This window comes from Homo sapiens, chromosome 13 (genome assembly GCF_000001405.40).
Source record: "Homo sapiens chromosome 13, GRCh38.p14 Primary Assembly".
In the NCBI taxonomy this organism is placed as follows: Eukaryota; Metazoa; Chordata; class Mammalia; order Primates; family Hominidae; genus Homo; species Homo sapiens.
In genome coordinates this window covers 45,426,530-45,451,870 of record NC_000013.11, presented here as the reverse complement: position 1 = coordinate 45,451,870, position 25,341 = coordinate 45,426,530, and the positions used below count along the sequence as shown (strand labels likewise).

At 44.0% G+C, this 25,341-nt stretch overlaps 1 protein-coding gene and 1 pseudogene across 1 annotated transcript in view; one reads left to right on the top strand and one right to left on the bottom strand.

Moving 5' to 3' along the window:
* PPIAP25 (peptidylprolyl isomerase A pseudogene 25) lies at positions 15,027-15,744 on the bottom strand (annotated as a pseudogene).
* The window catches only part of SLC25A30 (solute carrier family 25 member 30), a 40,701-nt gene continuing 33,214 nt past the window's right edge, over positions 17,855-25,341 (top strand). Inside the window, exon 1 of the mRNA XM_017020523.2 lies at positions 17,855-18,007. The gene's annotated coding sequence lies outside the window, so the exon portion shown is untranslated. The remainder of the gene's footprint in view (positions 18,008-25,341) is intronic.

Genomic DNA, 25,341 nt, shown 5'->3' with positions numbered 1-25,341 from the left:
AGTAGTACAATCTCAGCTCACTGCAACCTCCACTTCCTGGGTTCAAGCAATTCTACTGTCTCAGCCTCCCTAGTAGCTGGGACTACCGCCGCACACCACCATGCCTGGCTAATTTTTGTATTTTTAGTAGAGACAGGGTTTCACTATATTGGTCAGGCTGGTCTTGAACTCCTGACCTTGTGATCCACCCACCTTGACCTCCCAAAGTGCTGGGTTTACAGGCGTGAGCCACTGCGCCTGGCCCAGAATACTACTTCATTATATTCAATGAATAATATGGAATAGATGGGAAATTTGTATTTGCTGCTCAAAGCATTCTTTCCCAATAAGCAAAGCTACACAGGTTATTGAGTCATCATTAGGGTGCTTGTTAAATCTACATCCTGAGCCTCATTTTCCATGTCTGGAAAATGGGGATAATAATTCCTATCTTCCATGGTTTGTTACAAGGATAAAACAAAATAAAGAATTGTGAAAGGAAAGTAAACACTTGGGACCCCAACTCACTATGCCAAAAGAAAAAAAATTAAGCTGAAAGCTGAGTAATGCAAGAAGCTGCCTTTCAGACCGGGCGTGGTGGCTCATGCTTTAATCTCAGCACTTTGGGAGGCTGAGGTGGGCCGATCACTTGAGCCCAGGAGTTCAAGACCAGCCTGGGCAACATGGGGAAAATCCATCTCCACAAAAAAATACAAACATTAGCTGGGTGTGGTGGTGCTCACCTGTGAGCCGAGATCATGCCACTGTACTCCAGCCTGGGCAACAGAGTGAGACCCTGTCTCAAAAAAAAAAAAAAAAAAAAAAAAAAAAGGAGTGGGGAGGCAGGTGTGGTGGCTCACACCTGTAATCCCAGCACATTGGGGGCCTAAGGCAGGCGGATCACGAGGTCAAGAGTTTGAGACCAGCCTGGCCAGCATGGTGAAACCCCATCGCTACTAAAAATACAAAAATTAGCTGGGTGTGGTTGTGGGTGCCTGTAATCCCAGCTACTCAGGAGACTGAGGCAGGAGAATTGCTTGAACCCGGGAGGCAGAGGTTGCAGTGAGCTGATGGTGCCACTGCACTCCAGCCTGGGTGACAGAGCAAGACTCTGTCTCGAAAAAACGAAACAAAACAACGACAAAAAAGAAGCTGCCTTTTCTTTTGTTCCTAAGGAGACAGCTACAGATAAAGGTTAAATACCTCCACAGGTAGCTACTCTATGTTCCCTTTATCTTCTGTAAAATGTTGATTTACTGATGCCAGGTAAATATGTAATTGACAATTCCCCTACCTGCTCCTTTTCTCTTGCAACATGTGGATTCAGTAATGTGACTATAACCTCCCTCTTTTCCCTCCAGCCCACTCTCCTTCTGTAAATATTTGAAGCCCTCAAAATCATCTCTGAAGAAAGACACATACCAGAGACTGTTTCTGTGATTCTGTGTTTATTTCTTCCAGGCATGTTCTTAACCTTGGCAAACTAAGCTTCCAAATTGATTGAGACCTGTCTCAGATACTTTTTGGTTTACCGTATGTAACACACATAGCACAAAGACATTAATGTATGTGCTGTGGGCCCAAGAATTAATTGCTGAGATATCTTTTTTTATTTTTAAAAATTTATACTACGTAAAAGAGACAGAGTCTCAATATGTTGCCCAGGCTGGTCTTGAACTCCTGGGCTCAAGTGATCCACTAGCTTCAGCCTCCCAAAGTGCTGGGATTTCAGGCGTGAGCCACAATGCCAAGCCTTAAATACATGTTAAATAGAGTATGTATAATTTTATAATTAATAACAATATGAGTAGCTGTATCAGTGAACCAACCTTTTTGTTTTCTTTTTTCTTTTTTACCAAATACCCAGACTTCAAGGAGAGAACTGAACTTTTGGCAACCAGACTAACTAGTTCAGAAGTTAGAAAAGTTGGACTCTGGCTGGGCATGGTAGCTCACGCCTCTAATCGCAGCGCTTTGGGAGGTCGAGGCGGGTGGATCACGAGGTCAGGAGATCAAGACCATCCTGGCTAACACGGTGAAACCCCGTCTCTACTAAAAAAACACACACACAAAAAAAAAGTAGCCAGGCGTGGTGCTGGGCGCCTGTAGTCCCAGCTACTTGGGAAGCTGAGGAAGGAGAATGGCGTGAACCCGGGAGGCAGAGCTTGCAGTGAGCTGAGATCACGCCACTACACTCCAGCCTGGGCGACAGAGCGAGTGTCCGTCTTAAAAAAAAAAAAGAAAAGAAAAATCGGACCCTTACCAAGATTAATTTTGAGTGATCAACAAAAGCAACACTTAAGAAAAGACACATATGTCCATCCAAGCTGTCCTATAAAATCCTCCTTGAGGTCACATTTTACTTGGTGTAGTGTAATGCTTGGTGTTAAGCCTTAGAATTGTATGATCTCTCTTTGTTTTCTATTAAGTCCCTGGAAAAGTTAAAAAAAATAGCCTCATAAGCTGAATTCCACAGTGGTGTTTGCATTTTATTGCCTCTATCAGCTCTAATACTTATGTCAGGGTCACCTCCCAATGAATAGTGGCTCATGGTTCAGTTTACTGTACAAAGTAGCTGTTTGGCCTTGGGACTTTTTCAGTTTGGAAGAATTATTCTCAAGGTATTTTCTTCAGTCATCTGGAATGTTTTCCCAGGGAATCTTAATGCCATTTCATTGCCCTCCTGGAGTCCTGCTGTTTTCTCTTGACTGTTCTGGGTGTTTCCGGAGGTGAGAACTTGTACTGGAGGGTAGTGTTAAAGGTCAGAGGATGAACAGATGCAAGGTCAGGATGAATCTGGAGGGAGTTGAGGAAAAGGAAGCTCTTTGGCAAAATTCTAGAGTCTTTGTCAGACAACAAGTATTATTGGACAGCAATTGTGTACAAAATATTGTGCTCAGGGTGAGCAGTGTGGCTCATGCATGTAACCTCAGCATTTTGAGGTGGGAAGACCACTTTAGCCCAGGAGTTAAGAGACCAGCCTGGGCAACATAGCAAGACCTCATCTCCAAAAATAATAAGAGAAAAATTAGCCTGGTGTGGTGGTGCCCATCTGTGGTCCCAGCTACTTGAGAGGCTGAGGTGGGAGAATTGCTTGAGCCTGGCAGTTGAGGCTGCAGTGAGCCATGATTGTGTCACTGCACTCCAGCCTTGGCAACAGAGCAAGACCCTATCTCAAAAATAAAATAAAATAAAATAAAATAAAATAAAATAAAATAAAAATATTGTGCTCACTGATGTGAAAGAGAAGCATCAAGACATGATATCAACACTAGATTTGAGATTGAGATATAAAATTATTAAATAATAAAAGGGATTTACCAAGATAAGTTGGTTGTCGATATTAATTACTGAATAATAGCATCAATAAAACCTCTTATGGAGTTAGATTCATTCATTGATGACATACTTGGTTCTAGGCATCTAAGCCCTAGGTTTCTTGGTGAACAATTTGTTGAGGCTGCAAGCTCCGCCTCCTGGGTTCACGCCATTCTCCTGCCTCAGCCTCCCGAGTAGCTGGGACTCTAGGCGCCCGCCACCACGCCTGGCTAATTTTTTGTATTTTTTAGTAGAGATGGGGTTTCACCGTGTTAGCCAGAATGGTCTCGATCTCCTGACCTCGTGATCTACCTGTCTCAGCCTTCCAAAGTGCTGGGATTACAGGTGTGAGCCACTGCGCCTGGCCTGTTGAGCCTTTCTAGAGGGTGGGAAGTTTGACTGTGTGAACTCCAAATATCTGAGTTATTGGTTTCTCAGTCAGTTTAGAAAGTGCCAAGGTAAAGGACGTGTCCATGTCACAGCCTCAGGAGGTCCTGACATGTGCCCAAGGTGGGCAAAGCTTGGTTTTATATATTTTCGGGAGACATGAGACATCAATCAATATATGTAAGATGTACACTGGTTCAGTCCTGAAAGGCGAGACAACTTGAATTGGGAAGGGGGCTTCCAGGTCATAGGTAGATAAGAGACAAACAGTTGCGTTCTTTTGAGTTTCTGATGAGCCTTTCCAAGGAAGCAATCAGATATGCATTTATGTCAGTAAGCAGAGGGATGACTTTGAGTTTTGTCTGTCCTTTATCCACGGGAATTTATCTTAGTAGCTATCTTTTTTCGAAATAGAATGGGAGGCAGGTTTGCCCTAAGCAGTTCCCAGCTTGACTTTTCCCTTTGGCTTAGTGATTTGAGGGTCCGGAGATTTATTTTCCTTTCACAGCTGGGCCTTCAATAACAAGTTAAAGGAAGAAAGTGGGAAATGACAGTGTGAAAACTCCAAGATGAATTTATGGGACTGTGTGTAAATCATTTGAATTATTTCTTCCCAATGGATCTGCTGGACCAGGAGCCTTTTAAGAGATGAAATGAAAGGGAATTGTTAAGAGGTTGTTAATTTTTAACAGAGCAGCTCTGAGCTCTCCAAAATAAGCTCAATTGCTTTCACTGTCTTGTCAGAAAAGGTCTCTGTTATGCTGAAACCCGGCATGACGTGCAGGATAAAGGTCAGGGACAAGCTTGGGGCACGTAATGAAAAGCTGGGAGCAGAGTGGGAATGATGCCGCTTTGAAGCCAGTCCCTCTGCAGTGTTGAGATCAACAACCATGGGACCTGCACCAGCGACATCACCTCCCAGACACCCTGGGTTCCAACTGAGGGAGTCAGTGTCTCTGCTGAGGTGGGATGGCTTTTCCTGTTACAACCAGGACGCCAGGAGCTGCAGGGTCCTGTAGGGGTGGGAGACTCAAGTGAATAGATCTCGTCCCACTGAACTGCCTTTGCAAAAATTGTAACTGAGGAAATTATGACAGTGAAAGAGATCTGACCGAACCGACTCCATCTTGCTTCTAACCTCCAAGCTATCCTTGTTCATTACTGGTCAAACTAACTTTGGGAGGAACTTAGTTTATATTTTAACTTTGAAGCAAAGATGATAACAGCCCTTTCCCAAAAGAGACTCCCTTCTTGCCTACGGACCAGTCTACTTTTGTAGGACTAACAAATTAGCTACAGGATTAGAAATTATGGTTTAGGGCCGGGTGTGGTGGCTCACACCTGTCATCCCAGCACTTTGGGAGGCCGAGGCAGGTGGATCACCTGAGTCAAGAGTTCGAGACCAGCCTGGCCAACATGCTGAAACCCCGTCTCTACTAAAAATACAAAAATTAGCCAGGTGTGGTGATGGGCACCAGTAATCTCAGCCTCTAGGGAGGCTGAGGCAGGAGAATCGCTTGAACCCAAGAGGTGAAGGTTTCAGTAAGCCGAGATCGCGCCACTGCACTCCAGCCTGGGCGAGAAGCAAGACTCTGTCTCAAAAGACAAACAAACAAAAAAACAATTATGGTTTAGGAGTCATGCATCCTGAGGCTCCAAGATTCTGGACCTCCCCAAATTGCTTCTAGGAATAACATCACTGTTGTAAAACCTAAGATCAGTGCTTGAGATATTTTGCATTCCAATGCATCAGCTGACATCACCCATACCCGTAATCGGGCTCATCTGGTCTTGTGGCCCCCACCCAGGAACTGACTCAGTGCAAGAGGACAGCTTTGACTCCCTCCCTGTGATTTCATCTCCCACCCGACCAATCAGGACTCCCCACTCCCTCGTCCCCTACCTGCCAAGTTATCCTTAAAAACCCAACCCCGGAGTTTTCGGGGAGCATGATGTGAGTAATAATAAAACTCAGGTGTCCCATACAGCCGGCTCTGCATGAATTAAACTCGTTCTTCATTGTAATTCCCCTGTCTCAATAAATCATCTCTATCTAGGCAGCAGGTAAGGAGAACCTACTGGTTCTCCAACCACCACTGCACCTGTTAAGATTCGGTTCCCTGGGGCTCAGTAGGACTTACCTTGGCTTTGAGAAGGCTGGTGGAGAGAGGGCCAGTGAAATCCCCTTTGCAAAAATTATAACAGTGAGAGAATTATAGCAGTGAGGTAGATCTCATCTAGCCAACCCCCCTCTTGCCTATAGCCTTTAAGCTGCCTTAGTTTTTACTGGGCCAAGCTAACTGTGGGAGATACTTTGTAATAGACCTTCCCCAAAACTCAACTGCCTATGTAAAGCTACTGAGAGACCACCAGGCTAGGCAGAGGAGAGGAGCCTGAATTCTGCCAGAGGAGAGGAGCCTGAATTCTGCTAAGGTGTAGACATAAACCATTGCTACCCATCATTCTGGAAGTCACAAGATATGCAACTTCCCCAATGCCTCCTGCAGATAACATCACTACTGTAGAACCTAAGACTGGCTTTTTGAGATGCTTTTCAGGTTTTTTGCATGTCTAACACCGATGATGTTTCCACCTGGACCCACCAACCATACCTGTGGCCCCACCCAAAGCGAATCCGCACGCAGGAGGACCATTTCCCACACCCCTACGATGGCACCCCCCCAACCAATCAGCAGTAAGCACCCACTTCTTCCCCCAAACTACCTTTGAAAAACTCCTAACCTACAGGCCTTGGACAAGATTGATTTGAGTGATAATCTGTTTCCCACGTGGTGTGGCTGGCCTCAGGTCAATTAAATGATTTCTTTACTACAGTGCTATGGTCTCCATGAGTTGATTTTGTTTGTACAGCAGGCAGGAAGAACCTATCAGGTATTCAGCATGAGTGGGAAGGGAGTCCCACATCTTAAAGGAAGAAGGAAGCGTAGACGTCACCCAGGCTTACCAGGATCACCTGGCTTGTTGGTGACAGAGCTGGCCCTCATCTCTACCGTGCTTTCTTGTCTTTTGTGGAAACGTGTTATTGCTCAGTCCCTGACCAACTGTGTGCCAGGAACGATCCTCAGTAATCTCCTCTTCAATGTGTCTCTGATGCTATCATTTGCCTTTTTCTTCCTCTCCAAATCGTCTCTTTATCCCCCTTTCCCCTTCACTTCTTTCTCAGAAGAAAAGGCGGTATCCTTCATTTCAAAGGTTATCCTATTTGTCCTGTCTTAGTTCAGGTTACTGTAGCAAATTACCACAGACTGGGTGGCTTAAACAACAAACATTTGTTTCTCACAGTTTTGGAGGCTGGAAGTCTGAGATCAGAGTGCTAGCATGGCCAGGTTCTTTCTTTCTTTCTTTTATTTTGTTTTAGATTCAGGGGGTACATGTGCATGTTTCTTACATGGACATACTGCATACTGGTGGGGATTGGGCTTCTAACGTACCCATTACTCCAATAGTGAACATGGTTCCTGACAGGTAATTTTTCAACTTCACTCCCCTCCCAACCTCCACCCTTTTATCACCAGCGTCTACTATTTCTGCTTATGCCAAGACTGGTTCTTGGTGAAGGCCCTTTTCCTGGTTCACAGATAGCTGCTTTCTCCTTGTATTCTCATCTGGCAGAGAGTAGAGAGAAGAAGCAAGCTCTCTCCTGTCTCTCTTTTTTTTTTTTTTTTTTTTTTTGGCGGAGTCTCACTCTGTTGCCCAGGCTGGAGTACAGTGGCGCGATCTTGGCTCACTGTAACCTCCGCCTCCTGGGTTCAATTGATTCTCCTGCCTCAGCCTCCCAAGTAGCTGGGATTACAGATGCTTGCCACCACACCCGGCTGATTTTTGTATTTTTAATAGAGATGGGTTTTTACCATGTTGGCCAGGCTGGTCTCAAACTCCTGACCTCAGGTGATCCACCTGCCTCAGCCTCCCAAAGTGCTGAGATTACAGGTGTGAGCCACTGTGCCTGGCCCTGTCTCTTCTTATGAGGACACTAATCTCATCATAAGGGCCTCATCCCCAGGATCTAATTACCTCCTTTTTCTGTCCCTGCTGCTATAACAGAATACCACAACCTGGGTAATGTACAAATGACAGAAATTTATTTCTCACAGTCCTGGAGACTGGGGAGTCCAAGATCAAGGCACTGGCAGGTTTTGTGTCTGGTGAGGGCTGCTCTCTGCTTCCAAGATGGTGCCTTTTTGCCTCATATCCAGAGGGGACAAACACTGTGTCCTCACATGGTGGAAAAGATGGAAGGGCAAAAAGAATTAGGATACTCCTTTTAACTTCTTTTATAAGAGCATGAATCCCATTCATGAGGGCAGAGTACTCATGACTTAATCACATCCCCAAAGACCCCACCTCATAATAATACTACATTGGATATTGGGTTCCTACTTAAGAATTTCAGGAGAATGCATACATTCAAACCATAGCACCTCCCAAAGCAAGCACCTCCCAAAGGTCCCACCTCCTAATACTATTACATTAGGGATCAGGAATTCAACATATGAATTTGGGGAGCCGGGGACACAAACATTCAGTCCGTAGCAGTCCTTTTGGCTTGTGATGTGTTGACCACTCCCTCCTGGGCTTTGGAGGCCCTGCTCTCCCAGCTGTCTGGCTCATGCCCCCATGTTGGCACCTCCTAATATGGCTCCCTACCTAATGCTCATCTCACTGCCCCTGGGAGCCGTCATCCAGAGCCATAGATTTAGCTACTGCTGGTGTAGCTTCAATGACTCTACATTTGTTTCTAGCTCATACATATTTCTTGAGCTCAGACCCAGCACATAGCACATTGACTCCTATACTCTTACACATAAATACTCTTGGACACCTTAGACCAACATGTCTCAAACAGAACCATCACCTTGACTTCTAAACAGCCCCTGTTCCCTCAGTCTGTGCTCTGTGAGACATACAACCAGACACCTTTTGCCACAAGCCAGGAACCCAGATGTTTGCCTCAATTACCTCTCCTCCACCTTCCTAGCAGATCAGTCAAATTCCATGGATTTTACCTCCTTAAGCTCTCTTGAATCTATTCTCCCCATTCCCACTATTGTAATTTAGCTTTTGCACTGGGAAACCTACATTAATGCTTCAAGACTTGGTCAACTCAAGTGTCATCTTGACCAAGCATGGTGGCTTACACCTGTAATGCCAGCACTTTGGGAAGTCGAGGTGGGAGGATTGCTTGGGGCCAGGAGTTTGAGACCATCCTGGCAAATATAGTGAGGACCCATCTCTATTTTTTTTTTTTTTTTTGAGATGGAGTCTCGCTCTGTCGCCAGGCTGGAGTGCAGTGGCACAATCTTGGCTCACTGCAACCTCTGCCTCCTGGGTTCAAGCGATTCTCCTGCCCCAGCCTCCCAAGTAGCTGGACTACAGGTACACGCCACCATGCCCAGCTAATTTTTTTATTTTTAGTAGAGATGGGGTTTTACCACATTGGCCAGGCTGGTCTCAAACTCTTAACCTCAGGTGATCTACCCGCCTTGGCCTCCCAAAGTGCTGGGATTACAGGTATGAGCCACCACGCCTTGCCCTATTTTTTTTTTTTTAAGTGTCATCTCTCCCAGGAAGACTTCTTTTTTCTTGCTCTGTTGCCCAGGCTGGAATGCAATGGTGTGATATCGGCTCACTGCAACCTCCACCTCCTGGGTTCAAGCGATTCTCCTGCCTCAGCCTCCCGAGTAGCTGGGATTACAGGTGCCCGCCACCAGGCCCGGCTAATTTTTTTTGTATTTTTAGTAGAAACAGAGTTTCACCATCCTGGCCAGGCTGGTCTTGAACTACTGACCTCGTGATCCACTCGCCTCAGCCTCCCAAAGTGCTGGGATTACAGGCGTGAGCCACTGCACCCGGCCTCTCCCAAGAAGACTTCTAAGCACCCTTCCAGGCCATTATATAATTTTGGATTTTTTTTTCCTCTTCCATCAGACTGTAAATCTCTAAATGCAAAGGCATTTCCCCACCTTTTGTACCCAGCATGGCAATCAATCGGTGATTGTTAAATGCATGCATTTAAGTAAAAAATACATTTATTTTCCACAGCAACATGTGAGATTTTTGGTGAAATGTGAAATGTTTCCATTTTTACCAACCACTCTCCACAGATTTAATCAGGTTTTTTTTCTAGGCACATTTCCTCTTGTGATTGTTTCATTTTCTACTTTACTAAACCCAAAAGGAAACAAATATTCAGGATTCACATTGGTAGCTAGAAATTCTGTTCTGGTTTGCTGGGCCAGAGAATTAAGTGAATGCGTATCTTCAAAGGAAGTTGAATTTGTAAACCACAGTCAGACAAAATTAGCAATCAGAAATGCCATTGTCCTAGGCAAGAGAATCTTTTTACACCCCTCCTGTGGCTGGCTGTGGAAGCACCACAGCCAGACAGATCACCTCCTGTCGTGTTCTTGCTGGATAACTTGCTGTTATGATTCATTTTAAGGTGAAGCACTAGTGCATGAGAGCAAGTAATAAGGTGTAAAGTTGGAGACATTCATCCTGGACAAGCCCTGGTAGTGTTCCCCTGGTATTCTCATAGAAACCGAGACAAGAAACAATTTTCAGCTGAATCTTGTAAATTTCCAGATTGGCTTTACTGATGATAACTTGCCTAATATTTATTTAGCACTCATATCATGCTATGATGTGTATGATAGAGTAACAACTGAAAAACTGAACAACTGAAAGTTGTTGAAAGTAACAACTGAAAAAGCCATCTGACCATTCTATCAAGTTTCTTTTCTTTTTTCCTTTTCTTTTCTTTTCTTTTTCTTTTTTTTTTTTTTTGAGAGAGAGTTTCACTTTTGTTGCCCAGGCTGGAGTGCGATGGCGCAATCTCGGCTCACTGCAACCTCTGCCTCCTGGGTTCAAGAGATTCTTCTGCCTCAGCCTCCAGAGTAGCTGGGACTACAGGTGCCCACCACCACACCCGGCTAATTTTTGTATTTTTAGTAGAGACAGGGTTTCACCATGTTGACCAGGCTGGTCTCAAACTTCTGACCTCTGGTGATCCACCTGCCTTAGCCCCCACAAAGTGCTGGGATTACAAGCGTGAGCCACTGCACTCAGCCTTCTTATCTTTTTAGTATAAATGGAAAGAGGACAATGAACACATACAAACTATTTTGTTAAATCATCCTTAGTTTTTGTTTTTCAGTGAACTTTGATTAAAGGAAACATATTTGGGGACAGAGTTATTCTGTTTATTTATGTGGACATTGCATTACATCTGGGAAATAGACTGTCAAGGTACAGAGGGTACTCTGTGGCCTATATCAATAAGCCCCAGCCAAGGTCTAGTTATCCCTTTTTAGGTAAGTAGGTGAAAGGGTGATGGTGGTAATGTGAGTACTTGCATCTCTGGTTGTAGAATTTTTCCTAGGCTATTGGAAAGTCTATATTAAGGCTAGGAGTTCCTGGTCATATAGAGACCTCTAGCCATTGAAAAATCCTTCTGTGGTGTTGATAGAGCAAGTTTGGCATTTGTCCACTCTAAGAGGACTGCATGTCCTTGTGACTCAAACCATTAACTGAGAACTGGCCTTGACCTGTGGGGAAGGACATGATGAGGAGAGAAACCCAGCAGGACATTGTTATCAGTGCCAACATAAGCACGAGGGTGAAATGCATCTGCTTCTTGAGCTGCCGTTCTGCAGAGGAATTTGTTAGTTAACCGGCACTGGCTGAGTGTCTGTTCTATTTAGAGCTCCTGTTATGTGGGTTAGCTAAGTATCAGCTCTTTAGGTCATAAATACATTGAGCATTTTGGGAAGACATTTAATATATGTGTGGCTATGTATTTCTCTAACAACCATCCCCTAATTTTTTTTACATGATGTATGTTGTCCATATTAGATTCTGTACAGGGTTCCTTCCATCCTTCCTTCCTTCCTTCCTTCTTTCCTTCTTCCGTCCTTCCTTCCTTCCTGTCTTTCTTCCTTTTTTTTTTTTCAGGGGGAGTACAGTGGTGTGATCTCAGCTCACTGTAGCCTCAACCTCCTGGCCTCAAGTGATCCTCCTACCTCAGTCTCCTGAGTAGCTGAGACCACAGGGTGTGTGCCACCATGCCCAGCTAATTTTTGTATGTTTTTTTTTTTTTTTTTGTAGAGACAGGGTTTCACCATGTTGCCCAGGCTGGTCTCCGACTCCTGGGCTCAAACAATCCACCCGCCTTGAACCCCCAAGGTGCTAGGATTACAGTTTTACAGTGTGAGTCACCATGCCCAGCCTTTTCTTTTCTTTTTCTTTAACTTACAATGCTTTAATTTTTTGATAGCTTTATTGAAGTATAAATGATATACAAAAAATTGCACATATTTAAATGTATAAAATTTGATGACTTTGGTTATAATGCACATATACCTATGATATCATTGCCACAATCAAGGTAACAAATAAGTTCATCATCTCCAAAAGTTTCGTTGTGCCCCTTTGTCTGCCTTTTTGTGTGTGTGTATGCGAGGAAGAACACTTAACATGAAATCTACCCTCTTAACACATTTTTAAGTGTACAACATGGTATATTGTTAACAATAGGCACTATGTTATACAGCAGATGTCTAGATCTTAATCATCTTATATAACTGTAGCTTCATACCCATTGAAAAACTCCCCATTTCCTCCATCCTCTGGCAACCTCCATTGTATTTTCTGCTTCTCTAAGTTTGATTATTTTAAAGTCCTCATGTAAGCTTCTGTGACTGACTCATTTCACCTAGCATAATGTCCTTTAGGTCCGTCCGTATTGTCGCAAATCATCCCCTAACAATTTCATGCAGGGCTGCCTTGATTCTATAGTAGCTCCCTTTCACATGAGCAATATAAAGTGTGCTTAATTGTGTATTTGAGTGAGGTCTTTATACTCTTACTGCATGCAGCCATCCACAACAATGCACATGAGTAGTGTCTGTGTAAGAGGAGGCACAGTCAAACAGAAAGCATTCTCTTTCCGGCATGTCTGCAGAGCCTGGACACTGGCATATGCAGAGGCCCTCACAGGACTCACCTTAAAACCCAAAGTGGTTTTAAAACTTGTGGTTGGGCGTGGTGGCTCATGCCTGTAATCCCAGCCCTTTGGGAGGCTGAGGTGGGTGGATAATCTGAGGTCAGGAGTTTGATACCATCCTGGCCAAAACGGCGAAACCCTGTCTCTACTAAAAATACAAAAACTAGCTGGGCGTGGTGGCGCATGCCTGTAATCCCAGCTATTCAGGAGGCTGAGGCAGGAGAATCGCTTGAACTTGGGAGGCAGAGGTTGCAGTGAGCTGAGATTGCACCACTGCACTCCAGCCTGGGCGACAGAGCGAGACTCCGTCTCAAAAAACAAAAAAAAACACCAAAGAAAACCACTTGAGGTTGTACAAGAAATAGTCGGAGTGACTGAATCCTGCTGTGGAATCACTAACGTGTGATTTGCTTAAAAGTTTACTTAAATAAGTTATAAATCTATGATACATTTTTTTTTTTATGTAGCCCAGGCTGGAGTGCAGTGGCTTCCATCTCAGGAGGTGTCTCCCGTGTTTTTTTTTGTTTGTGTGTGTTTTTTTTTTTTTTTTTTTTTTTTGAGTAGCTGAGTAGCTGGGATTACAGGCACCCACCACCATGCCTGGCTAATTTTTGTATTTTTAGTAGAGACGGGGTTTCACCATGATGATCAGGCTGGTCTCGAACTTCTTGCCTGAAGTGATCCACCTGCCTCGGCCTCCCAAAGTGCTGGGATTACAGGTGTGAGCCACTGCACCCAGTCTATGATGCACATTTTGTGATTAGTTTTACATATGCAGTGTTATCAGTTAGGAAAACCATAAGCAGTGATACCAAGTTAAAGTGGTCTTTTTCTCAAGAAACAAGAAGCCTGGGGGTAGAAAGTTGGTTTAGCTGCCTGACAATGTCAATAAGACCCTGACTCTTTCTCTCTTTCGGTCCTGCCTTTCTTAGCATGTGGGCCTTTTGTTAACATGCTTGTCACTTTGTGAGAGTGAGACTGTGGCCACAGCTGCACGTACCATGTTTGTATTCAAGGCACGAGAATGGGGAAGGGGCAGTGCCAGTGACCACTGCTCCTGGGCCTGTTCTCTTTGTACAGAAGTAAAGCCTTTCTCAAACACTCCTCCTTATGCTGCCCAAGAGTTTCATGTTTGTCTCGTTGGACAGAACTTGTCACTTGGCCATGCTTAGCTGCAAGAAAGGCTGGGAAAGAAGTTTTTTTGTTTTGTTTTGTTTTGTTTTGTTTTGTTTTGTTTTTGAGATGGAGTCTCACTCTGTTGCCAGGCTGGAGTGCAGTGGTGCGATCTTGGCTCACCGCAACCTCTGACTCCCTAGTTCAAGTGATTCTCCTGCCTCAGCCTCCCGAGTAACTGGGATTACAGGCACATGCCACCACGCCCAGCTAATTTTTGTATTTTTAGTAGAGATGGGGTTTCACCATGTTGTCCAGGATGGTCTCCATCTCCTGACCTCGTGATCCTCCCGCCTCGGCCTCCCAAAGTGCTGGGATTACAGGTGTGAGCCACCGCGCCCAGCCGGGAAAGAAGTATTTAACATTTTCAGCTTCCATAGTGGAGGGTGGCACAACAGAGGAGGATTAGAAATAAGCTGCTCTACCAATGGCTTCTGGAGAGTCCCCACCAATCCTTCATTAAGGAAGGAAGATGTGACCAGAATCCTTTCAGTGGCTTCCTTTTGTGGCATTTAGATGTAAATTAGATTTTTCAGGGTTTCAAGGAGCAGGCACATCCTCAGGTTATTTCCATGAATGAAGGCCAATTATAAGGCTACATAGGGAAATAAAGGACACAGGAAGTTGTCTCCGGCCATGTGGTTAGGCCATATAGGACGTAGTCTGGGATGTACTTGTAGCCCCATTGCTCTGATAGCAACTCTGGTGGCACCGTCACAATACCTGGCAAGTGACTCTTCAGAACTGGGCAACTATGGATTCCTGCTCTGGGTCTCCACCATGACAGGGACTCAGATATTTTGCCTCTGACTCTACTGCTTTTGTCTGTATCAGCGGATTTTCACTCGTGCCTTATGTCAAATGTCCCAAGAGTTCCTGTGGGACAGCCTTCACCATCCAGCAGAGGGGCCACTACAGGGCAGAGTTCTCAAGGCCACCTCAGACCTCTATCCATGTCTCCCTTGGCCTATCTGTGTGACTGGGTGATGGATCATGTGTAACCACTGTTGATCACACTCAGAGGGGACTGTGGGTGAGGTGGGTTCCCCAGGGCTTTGGAGGAGGTAATGAAACAATGGCTAGTCCTGGACCCTGGCTCTAAGCCATCTGCTAAGCTGTATCAAACTAGCCTTTTTTTTTTTTTTTGGTTGTTAGTTTTTATTTCATAATCATAAACTTAACTCTGCAATCCAGCTAGGCATGGAAGGGAACAGGGAAAACATGGAACCCAAAGGGAACTGAGCGAGAGCACAAAGATTCTAGGATACTGTGAGCAAATGGTGCGGAGGGGCACTCTCCTGAGCTATAGAAGGAATGGTCTGGTGGTTAAGATAAAACACAGTCGGCAATTGTGATCTCCTTGCTGGTCTTGCCATTCCTGGACCCAAAGCGCTCCACGGCCTTCACAATAATCAGGCCTTCTTTCTCCTTGCCAAAGACCACATGCGTGCCATCCAACCACTCAGTCTTGGCAGCGCAGATGAAAAACTGGGAACCGTTTGTGTTGGGTCCAGCATTTGCCATGGACAAGATGCCAGGACCTGTATGCTTTAGAATGAAGTTGTCATCATCAAATTTCTCCTCGTAGATGGACTTCCACCTGTGTGATTATGGCGTGTGAAGTCACCACCCTGACACACAAACCCTGGAATAATGCCGTGAAAGCAGGGACCCTTATAACCAAATTCTTTCTCCCTGGTGCTCAGAGCGCAAAAGTTTTCTCCTCTCTTTGGAAACTTGTCTGCAAACAGCTTGAAGGAGACTCAGCCCAAGGGCTCGCCGTCGATGGCAATGTTGCAGAACCCCTTGGGGTTGACTGTGGCTGATAGTACAAGGCTCCTGGTGGCAGCAGCATCTGCAAAGCCCATTTAAAAAAAAATTGCAGCTATTTCACTATTTATACAATCATTCATCTTTCTATCTTCATTTTCTTGAAATTAAATCCCTAAAACCTTTCTGTCTTGACTATGCAAGGTGCCAGAAAACCAGAACAAATAATAACCAAAAAGGTCACATTTGTATTGCTTTGGTGGGTGTGTTTATATATATATATGTATATATATATATTTTTTTTTAATAAAAAATATTGATAGGCGGGGCGTGGTGGCTCATGCTTGTAATCTCAGCACTTTTGGAGGCCGAGGCTGGCAGATTGCTTGAGGTCAGAAGTTCGAGACCAGACTGTCCAACATGGTAAAACCCGTCTCTACTAAAAATACAAAAAATTAGCCTGGTGTGGTGGCGCATGCCTGTAAACCCAGCTACTCTAGAGGCTGAGGTAGGAGAATCACTTGAACCTGGGAGGCAGAGATTTCAGTGAGCCGAGATCGTGCCATTGCACTCCAGCTTGAATGACACAGTGAGACTGTCTCCAAAAAAAAAATATATATATATATGTATTTGTATTTATTTATATATATATATATATATATATATATATATATATATATATATATATGAAGAGAGAGAGAGGTGAAATTTGCATAACATTTAACTGTTTTGTTTTGTTGAGACAGGCTCTTCTTCTGTCAGTCAGGCTGGAGTGCAGTGGTGCCATCACAGCTCACTGCAGCATTGACCTCCTGGGCTCAAGCGATCCTCCTACCTCAGCGTCCAGAGTAGCTGGGACTACAGGCACGTGCCACCATGCCCAGCTAATTTTTGTATTTTTTGTCGAGATGGGGTTTTGCTGTGTTGCCCAGGCTTGTCTCCAATTCCTGAGCTCAAGCGATCTGCTCACCATGGCCGCCCAAAGTGTTAGAATTATAGGCGTGAGCCACTGTGCCCAACCCATTTATGGGTTTTAAAGTGTACAACATGGTGACATTTAGTGTGTTTACAGTGTTGTGCAACCATCACCTTTACCTGGTTTCAAAAGATACATTTTTGAACAAGTGTGCATGAGTGTTGGGGATGATCTTGTCTCCTGTATTGAAAAGACTCTGTCAACGCTGCCTGCCAGACTGGCCCCAGGTGCTATAGGTTTATGGACCTAAACACCTTTCTTGACTTTGCATAAGGAAAAAGTATCTTCCTGACCAAATATCTCAGGGAAACTCTCCCAATTCTCAGAAACTCCTTGCTCTTCCATGGTCTGCCATCCCTCAGCTGCAGAATTTGCATTGAGACCCTGTGTGTTCACTGAGGGTTTATTGTTTAACCATTTTATGGCTATTTAGATAGCAGTTAAAATTACACAAAAACAAACAAATGATGACCAAACCGAGTCACTGTCAAGGTCACAGGTGGCTGTGTCTGACATAAAAACAGAAGCTCTCCTTCGATTCACTCATTGGGAGAGGAATTTTTCAGCAGCATAAGGCCTCAAGATGAGTTGTCAGAGGGTCAGCTGCTGCTCAACCTGAACACCTATTTATTTATTTATTGCTTTTTGAGACAGAGTCTTGTTCTGTAACTCAGGCTGAAGTGCAATGGCACGATCTTGGCTCACTGGAACCTCCGCCTCCCAGGTTCAAGCCATTTTCCTGCCTCAGCCTACTGAGTAGCTGGGATTACAGGCACACACCACCACACCCAGCTAATTTTTGTAATTTTAGTAGAGACAGGGTTTCACCATGTTGCCTAGGCTGGTCTCGAACTCCTAGCCTCAAGTGATCTGCCTGCCTTGGCTTCCCAAAGTGCTGGGATTGCACTCAAAACAAAACAAAACAAAAACACAAAGAAAAAAAAACAAAGAGTATGGTTTGATTGAATTTTTTTTTTTTTTTTGAGATGGATTTTCACTCTTGTTGCCCAGGTTGGAGTGCAATGGTGTGATCTTGGCTCACTGCAACCTCTGCTTCACAGGTTCAAGCAATTCTCCTGCCTCAGCCTCCCGAGTATCTGGGATTACAGCCACGTGCCACCATGCCTGGCTAGTTTTTTGTATTTTTATTAGAGATGGGTTTCACCATCTTGGCCAGGCTGGTCTCAAACTCCTGACCTCAGGTGATCTGCCCGCCTCGGCCTCCCAAAGTGCTGGGATTACAGGCATGAACCATTGCGCCCAGCCTGATTGGAATTTTATAATCAGTATTTTTTTCAAACTGGATTTTCATTTTAGTTGGTTATGAACAGTGTGAACAAAAAATAGAATAATAAAGAATACAGTGCATTACAGATACAGTAAGTATTCCTTCCGGAAATGTTTGTCTCAGTAGTGTGTTTGTGTGTATATGTGTGTACTGGATTATTATGTAAAATGCATTTCTTAATGTGGGTTACAGTTTAACGAGTTTGAAAGCCATGGACATAAATGGCTGTGGCCCCGTCAGAACAGCTCAGACTTTTTTCACCAGCCTCAGGCCTCGGCCAGCTTCCCTGACTCTTCCACTATTACCAGATGGAAATGTCATGGTTATGTTCAGAGTCCTCGTGCTAAACTCATGTATGCTCTTTATCAGAGGCAAAAATGGAGCATGACAGTCTGTTCTCAGGGCAAGTTCCAAGAACTGAGAACACAGCCCTCACAGGGTAATACAACTTTCAATTTTCCAATTCCTAAACCAGTGTCAGTTCTGGCTTTGCTCTCCTTGGTTATTCTGTGAATGTACTTGAATGTTCGAGGGAGTTTCTGCAGTGACAGGCTGGGGCACTGTCCTCCCTGACGCTCCGAAAAGCCACACTTTAGAACACTCTGGCTAAAATTACCTCTGGGAGCCACCTGTTTAGTACCCTTTATACTTGAACCTCTCAGCATGAAGTGCCCCAGATCACTTACAGTTCCCCAAATTCTTTTTCATGAAAAGAGCCATTTATTTCATCTCTTGGAGGTCACAATTTGCCCTTTAAACTTTGCCTGTGATAAACTTAAGTCTGATAGTTTGCTTTGGCAGTACCTGTGTGAAAGCAACTCAGAAAGTTAGAGAGTGAAATATTTAGCCAAATGATGGGCTAAAAAAAATAATACAGGCAATTCCAGTTAAGGTTCAGATTGAATTTTTTTTTTTTTTTTTTGAGAAAGAGTCTCATTCTGTTGCCCAGGGGTGCAATGGCACGATACGGCTCACTGCAGCCTCAACCTTCCCGGGTTCAGGTGATCCTCCCACTTCAGCCTCCTGAGTAGCTGAGGACTACAGGCGTGTGCCATAATGCCCAGCTAATTTTTTTTTGTTTTTTTTTTGGTAGAGACTGTGTTTTGCCATCTTGCCAAGTCTGGTCTTGAACTCCTGAGCTCAAGCGATCTGCCTGCCTTGGCCTGCTGGGATTACAGGTGCAAACCACCACACCTGGCCTTGATTTTTTTTTTTAACATGCTGAATTGATTGTTTTTTTTTTTTAGTGTCCTATAGATATACCTGGCCATAATAATTAGTAAGTAGCCATTTAGGTTGCTTTTAATATCATATTTTTGAAATTGTATTGTTCAATACAAATTAATTGAAAGTACTGAGTGTAAACCTCAGGACAAAACTACTGAGAAATATTAAAGGTTTTAATTTTATACCCAACTATTTAGTGATACTGGTTTTGCCTACATGTGGTGGATCTTTAGAAGATGAAAGAGATGTGTGGAATAATGATAATCCTGATGATGGTAATAATAATGATAGCAATGTTTATTATGCACAGGGCACTCTGTAAATTATTCCATTTATTTCCTTTAATTCTTGCTAAAAAAGCCATCTGAAACAAGTATGTCTATTTATTTTACTTCTAAGGAAAATGAGAATATGAGAATTATAAAGAGGATAAGTAACACTGTTTTTTTTTTTTTTTTGAAACAGAGTCTTGCTCTGTTGCCCAGGCCACAGTGCAGTGATATGATCTCGGCTCACTGCAATCTTCACCTCCCAGAGTCAAATGATTCTCCTGCCTCAGCCTCCCGAGTACCTGGGATTACAGGTGCGCACTACCATGCCCGGTTTGTTTTTGTATTTTTAGTAGAGACGGGGTTTCACTATGTTAGCCATGCTGGTGTCATACTCCTGACCTCAAGTAGTCCACCCACCTTGGCCTTCCAAAGTGCCAGGATTACAGGTATGAGCCACTGCACCCGGCCCTGAGATGTATTTTAAAGGCAGAGACAGCAGGACATATGGGGTGGATATTGATGATAAGAACAAAGGAAAAATTAAAGATGACACCTTGGTTTTTGGTTTGAGCTCAAATAGCTGATGGTGACATTTACTATGAGAAAGACTAGAAAAGGAACAGGCTTCGGGGACAAAAGTAGGAGGCTCTATTAGGTGTACTAAGTTTGAGTTGCCTAGTTACATCTAAGAGAAGGTGTCAAATAGGCCACTGGATATGTGAGTCTGGAGTAGCAAACAGAGCAGGGCTAGAGATAGAAGTGTGCAATCGTTGGCTGGGTGCGGTGGCTCACGCCTGTAATCCCAGCACTTTGGGAGGCCGAGGTGGGCAGATCACCTGAGGTCAGGAGTTTGAGAATAGCCTGGCCAAGATGGTGAAACCCATCTCTAATAAAAATACAAAAAACTAGCCAGGCATGGTGGCACGTGGCTGTAATCCCAGATACTCGGGAGGCTGAGGCAGGAGAATTGCTTGAACCTGTGAAGCAGAGGTTGCAGTGAGCCAAGATCACACCATTGCACTCCAACCTGGGCAACAAGAGTGAAAATCCATCTCAAAAAAAAAAAAAAAATTCAATCAAACCATACTCTTTGTTTTTTTTTCTTTGTGTTTTTGTTTTGTTTTGTTTTGAGTGCAATCCCAGCACTTTGGGAAGCCAAGGCAGGCAGATCACTTGAGGCTAGGAGTTCGAGACCAGCCTAGGCAACATGGTGAAACCCTGTCTCTACTGAAAATACAAAATTAGCCGGGTGTGGTGGTACATGCTTGTAATCCCAGCTACTCGGGAGGCTGAGGCAGGAGAATCGCTTGAATCCTGGAGGCAGAGGTTGCGGTGAGCCAAGATCACGCCATTGCACTCCAGCCTGGGCAACAAGAGCGAAACTCCATCTCAAACAAAAACAAAAACAAAAACAAAAGAAGCGTGCAATTGTCGGGTGGTGTTTACAGCCCTAGAACTAGGTGGGACCATTGGGTAGAGTATATGCTTTGAGAAGGGAAAGGACTCATGATAGAGCCCTGAGGCATCCTAATATTTAGAGATTCATAGAGAGAATGAGAAGGGCTAGCCAGTGACAGTGGCCAAGGAGAAACATTAAGGCATATTTCTTTCATTAATAAAACTAAATTTTAAAAAATCAAAGTTATACACATTCATAGTCTCACTGTGTTACCCAGACTGAAGTGCAGTGGCATGATCTGGGCTCACTGCAACCTCTACCTCCTGGGCTCAAGTGATGCTCCCACCTCAGCCTCCCAAGTGGCTGGGACTACAGGCACACCACCATGTCTGGCTAATTTTTGTATTTTTTTTGGTACAGATGGAGTTCCACCATGTTGCCCAGGCTGGTTTCAAACTCCTGAGCTCAAGTGATCCACCTGCCTCGGCCTCTTAGAGTGCTGGGATTACAGGCATGAGCCACCATGCCAGGCCCCATATTCTTAAAAATAAAATTGTTCTACAGGGCTTTTGCAATGAAAAGAACAGTTATCTGCTTCATCCTTCTCCATTACTCAATCCCGATGCCCAGAGGCAACTACTTTAAACTCTTTCAGTTGCTTCTTCTGTGTTTTCATTTGTTATTTCTTTTCTTCTTTTGCCATCTCTATAGAGATATCATGTCTCTATAGAGACATCCTCTTTAAGTAAAGACTTACTCTTTACTCCTATCACTCATCCTCACACACACTTGCACATATTCACGCAAACACAGTTTCTCACTATCATTTCATTATAATTACATCACATATTTTGTTAAATCAATATATGGTATTAATTACTCTGACTTTGTAAATGTTATTGATAACTGAGCCGTATAGTATACTATGATTATATTTGTTTTTAAAAATATAACTCTCTGTTTTTTCCTGGAATTGACAGTTGCCTTCATTAAAAAAAAATTTAGCTTCATTTTCTAGGTACCTATTTCTAATTCACTTCAAAATTCTCCATTAGAAGTATAAAGTATCAATATTTTCACCAACATCAGGTGATGTATCAGTTTCATTTTTTTTTCTTGGCAATATATTTCCAGGATCTCTTTGTACTCCTGCTCCAATCTGGCCTGGTTGCTGTTGTCCTGAGATTTCTTTCTGTTTTTTTGTTTTTGTTTTTTTTTTTCTGAGACAAGGTCTTGCTCTGTTGCCTAGGCTGGAGTGCAGTGGGGCAATCACAGCTCACTGTAGCCTCAACTTCCTGGGCTCAAGTGATCTTCCTGCCTCAGCCTCCTGAGTAGCTGGGACTATAGGCACTTCCCACCATGCCCAGCTAATTAAAAAAATTTTTTTTTGTAGAGACAGGGTCTCTCCATGTTGCCCAGACTGGTTTTGAACTCATGAGCTTAAATGCAATCCTCCTGCCTCAGCCTCCCAAGTGCTGGGATTACAGCCATGAGCCACTGTGCCCAGCTGTCATGAGAATTCTTTTCAGTGTCATCTTGAGAATTCCTTTCCCCATCCTCCTTTGCTGGTCGCTTATTTCCTGAACCCCATTTTTCAGTTTCTTCCTTAGTTCTGGGGAAGAATATCCTCCATTAGCTTTCTAGGGGACACATACATGAAAGAGGTCAATTCTTTAAGAGCTTGCACCTGTCGGGTGTGGTGGCTCATGCCTGTAATCCTAGCACTTTGGGAGGCTGAAGCAGGCAGATAACCTGAGGTCAGGAGTTCGAGACCAGCCTGGCCAACATGGTGAAACCCCGTCTCTACTAAAAATACAAAAATTAGCCAGGTGTGGTGACACATGCCTGTAGTTGCAGCTCCTAGGGAGGCTGAGGCCTGAGAATCGCTGGAACCCAGGAGGTGGAGGTTGCAGTGAACTGAGACTGCGCCATTGCACTCCAGACAGGGTTACAGAGCAAGACTCCATCTCAAAAAAAAAAAAAAAAAAAAAAAAAAAAAAGAGCTTGCACATATGTAACTTTTCAATTCTTCCCATTGCTGGTTTGGTTAGGTGGATATTATAGTTTGGTAATAATTTCCCCTCAAATTTAAGTCATTGCTCCATCATATTCTAGTTTCCAGCATTGCTATTGAGAAGTTTTAAGTTATCATTATTCTTAATCCTTTAGCTGTGATTTGTTTCTCTTTTTTTGTCTCTCTCTCTCCACCCAAATTAGGCTTTAAAAGTTAAAAAGAGGCCAGGTGCAGTGGCTCACACCTGTAATCCCTGCACTTTGGGAGGCTGAGGTGGGCAGATCATGAGGTCAGGAGTTCAAGACCAGCCTGACCAACATGGTGAAACCCTGTCTCTACTAAAAATACAAACATTAGTCAGGCATGGTGGTGCGTACCTGTAATCCCAGCTACTCAGGAGGCTGAGGCAGGAGAATCGCTTGAACCTGGGAGGCAGAAGTTGCAGTAAGCAGAGATCACGCCACTGCACTCCAGCCTGGGTGACAGAGCTGGACTCCGTCTCAAAAAAAAAAAAAAAAAAAAAAAGTTAAAAAGAAGGCTGGGCTTGGTGGCTCATGCCTGTAATCCCAGCACTTTGGGAGGCCGAGGTGGGCAGATCACGAGGTCAAGAGATCGAGATCAGCCTGGCCAGTATGGTGAAACCCCGTCTCTACTAAAAATACAAAAATTAGCCGGGTGTGGTGGCATGCGCCTGTAGTCCCAGCTGCTCAGGAGGCTGAGGCAGGAGAATCACTTGAACCTGGGAGGCAGAGGTTGCAGTGAGCCGAGATTGCACCACTGCACTCCTGGGCGACAGAGTGAGACTCTGTCTCAAAAAAAAATAAAAATAAAAAAAGAAAGAAAGAAAGAACATGAACAAATTGGAGAAGGGTATAAATGGCAGAAAAAATGCCCAGGGATGAAGGTAGCAAAACTCAATTACAACAGACCCTCCTCAAAGTCCCTGCTGATGGATCAGACACAACTTCTCTATAAAAATGGGACATATAATAATTGTAGGGGGCCGGCATGGTGGCTCATGCCTGTAATCCCAGCACTTTGGGAGGCCGAGGCGGGTGGATCACTTGAGGTCAGGAGTTCAAGACCAGCCTGGCCAACATGGTGAAACCCCCGTTTCTACTAAAAATACAAAATTATCCGGAGTGGTGACGCATGCCTGTAGTTGCAGCTCCTCAGGAGGCTGAGGCAGGAGAATCGCTTGAACCTGTGAGGCGGAGGTTGCAGTGAGCCGAGATGGCACCACTGCACTCCGCCTGGGCGACAGAATGAGATCTGTCTCAAAAAGAAAAGAAAAGAAAAGAAAAATTGTAGGGGGCCAAGGGAAAACTTCCCTTTTGCTGTCTGAAGCCACGCTGAAAATAAATTCACAAACGGCAGATTAATAGGAGAAATGCCAGGCAAATTTATTAATGTGCATGGGGGAAAATCACAGAGTGATTTCCTCACCATGCAGTAGGGTACAGATGATTATATATCCTCTTCTTGAGTGAAAGGGAGATGGGGAAACGTGGATGATTTAGGAAGGTAGTAAATGATTTTCAGGGGAAGTCAATGGAATTGAAATATACAATGGCCTGGGACAAACTCTGTTGGGCCCAATGAGCAAACAGTGGTTTGTGACAAAAGTCTATCCAGGTGTATGGACCAAGTTCAGTCTTTCTTCTTGCAATGAGTTCAGTTAATGAAAACTTAAGGAAAGGACCAGAGGTAATTGTTTTCTTTTTTGGTGGATCCAGACTTTAGGCAGACAAAGGACCTTCAGAGAACAACTTTATCCTATGCTTCGGGAGAGACAGAGGATTGAGAGACAGGAAGATGGGAGGAAAGTCAGAGAGATGTGGCCTCTTCTTCAGTTCAGCATGTCAAAGCACCGTGTTTTGGGATATCAGTTTTGGGACCCAGCCTAGTATAGCTCCCTAGTCCTGGGTCCCAGTCTCAGATCTCTTCAAGATAAATGATCTCATTAATGTCCTGATTTTTTTTCATCATCCAATTACCAAGCTCATCTGAGCTGGTAAATCTGTTGTTATATGATCATGTAACTCTGGAAGGTTTAGAGTTAAATATAGAAACGACGAGCTAAATCAAACCCATAGTACTAATATTTTTAGTACTAACCATTAAGTGTAAGACAATCTGTGTGTGTCTGCTATTCATGCGAAGTTTAATAGTAAAGAAAGAAATTATCCTCGTAGGGAACCTCACAGATTACCTTGCAATTTCAATTTAAAATGTGCAATTGATTTTATACTTGTGACTTTAAATTGAAGGTGTAAGAGAATTTGATAAAGTGTATACATTGTACTGATTGTATTAAGAGAATCTTGTTACAAGAGTGTCCGCTAAGGCTGTCAGGAGGTCTTCCTGAAGGTCTCATGACAGTTGCTTCTGCTACAAATGGCTGTTATAGGCTGTGCCATTTCCCCTTTTACCAAATGAACCCCAACAGGCTCAGGAAACGATAAGGCACAGCTGAGACCAGACTGCAATATTTAAATGCAAATTTTGCTAAA